We start from the raw sequence: 1,156 nt of genomic DNA, 5'->3' as shown, positions 1-1,156 counted from the left end.
GATGCTTAAGATCCTTAGCCATCAAAGAAATGTAAATCGAAACTGCAATGAGATACCACCTCATACCCCCTAGGATGGCCATAATTAAAAAGACAGACAACTACAAGTGATAGTGAGGATGCAGAGAAATTGCAACACACATACCCTGCTGGTGGGAATGTTTTTTTGTTGTTGGTTGTTTTGTTTTGTTTTGTATGTGTGTGTGAGCAACAAAGCTTTTTAGTTACCTGGGTGCAGGCAGGCTGAGTCTGAAAAGAGAGTCAGTGAAGGGAGATAGGGGTGGGGCCGTTTTATAGGATTTGGGTAGGTAAAGGAAAATCACAGTCAAAGGGGGTTGTTCTCTGGCGGGCAGGGGTCGGGGTCACAAGGTGCTCAGTGGGGGAGCTTTTTGAGCCAGGATGAGCCAGGAGAAGGAATTTCACAAGGTGATGTCATCGGTTAAGGCAAGGACCGGCCATTTTAACTTCTTTTGTGGTGGAATGTTATCAGTTAAGGCAGGAACAAGCCATTTAAATTTCACTTCTTTTGTGCTGGTGGGAATGTTAAATGGCACCGCCACTCTGGAAAACAGTTTGGCAGTTCTTCAAAAGATTAAACATGGAGTTACTATATGACCCAGTTTGGGGGTACACAAAAACTTATATACAAATGTTCATAGCATATGAACATTCATATTCAAAAGCTAATATTTATATAGCCAAATAGTGGAAACAATACAAATGTCCACCAACTATTAAATACAATGTGTTTTATCCATAAGCTAAAATATTATTTGGAAATAAAAAGAAACAAATGACGGATATGTGCTACGACATGGATGAAATTTGAAAAAAAAAACCATGCTAAGAAGCCAATCACATATATTATACAATTTCATTTCTATGAAAGATCCAGAATAGGCAAATCCATACAGACAGAAAGTAGGTTCTTGGTTGCTCAGAGTTGGGCACCATTGGGCAGAATGGAGAGTGACTGAGAATAGGTATGGTGGCTCTTTTGGGGGTAACGAAGTTGTTCTAAAGTTGTGGCAATGATTGCAGAACTCTGAATATACCAAAAGTATTGAACTGTATACTTTACATGAGAAATTGTATATGAATTATATCTCAATCAAGTCATTTTCCTATTTAAAAAAGAGATATGTTGGTAACAAATA

At 38.4% G+C, this 1,156-nt stretch overlaps 1 annotated feature.

Moving 5' to 3' along the window:
- Window positions 249–805: an enhancer, noted in NCBI's record as "NANOG-H3K27ac hESC enhancer chr11:13798703-13799259 (GRCh37/hg19 assembly coordinates)". NCBI's record gives its function as "activates a minimal SCP1, AML or CMV promoter by ChIP-STARR-seq in primed H9 embryonic stem cells {active_cell/tissue: H9 hESC(primed)}" and the evidence as "EXISTENCE:reporter gene assay evidence [ECO:0000049][PMID:30033119]".

The sequence above is a fragment of the Homo sapiens genome, chromosome 11 (genome assembly GCF_000001405.40).
Source record: "Homo sapiens chromosome 11, GRCh38.p14 Primary Assembly".
Taxonomy (NCBI): Eukaryota; Metazoa; Chordata; class Mammalia; order Primates; family Hominidae; genus Homo; species Homo sapiens.
Note: the sequence above shows the minus strand (reverse complement) of the source record. Positions and strands in the feature narration are given on the sequence as shown.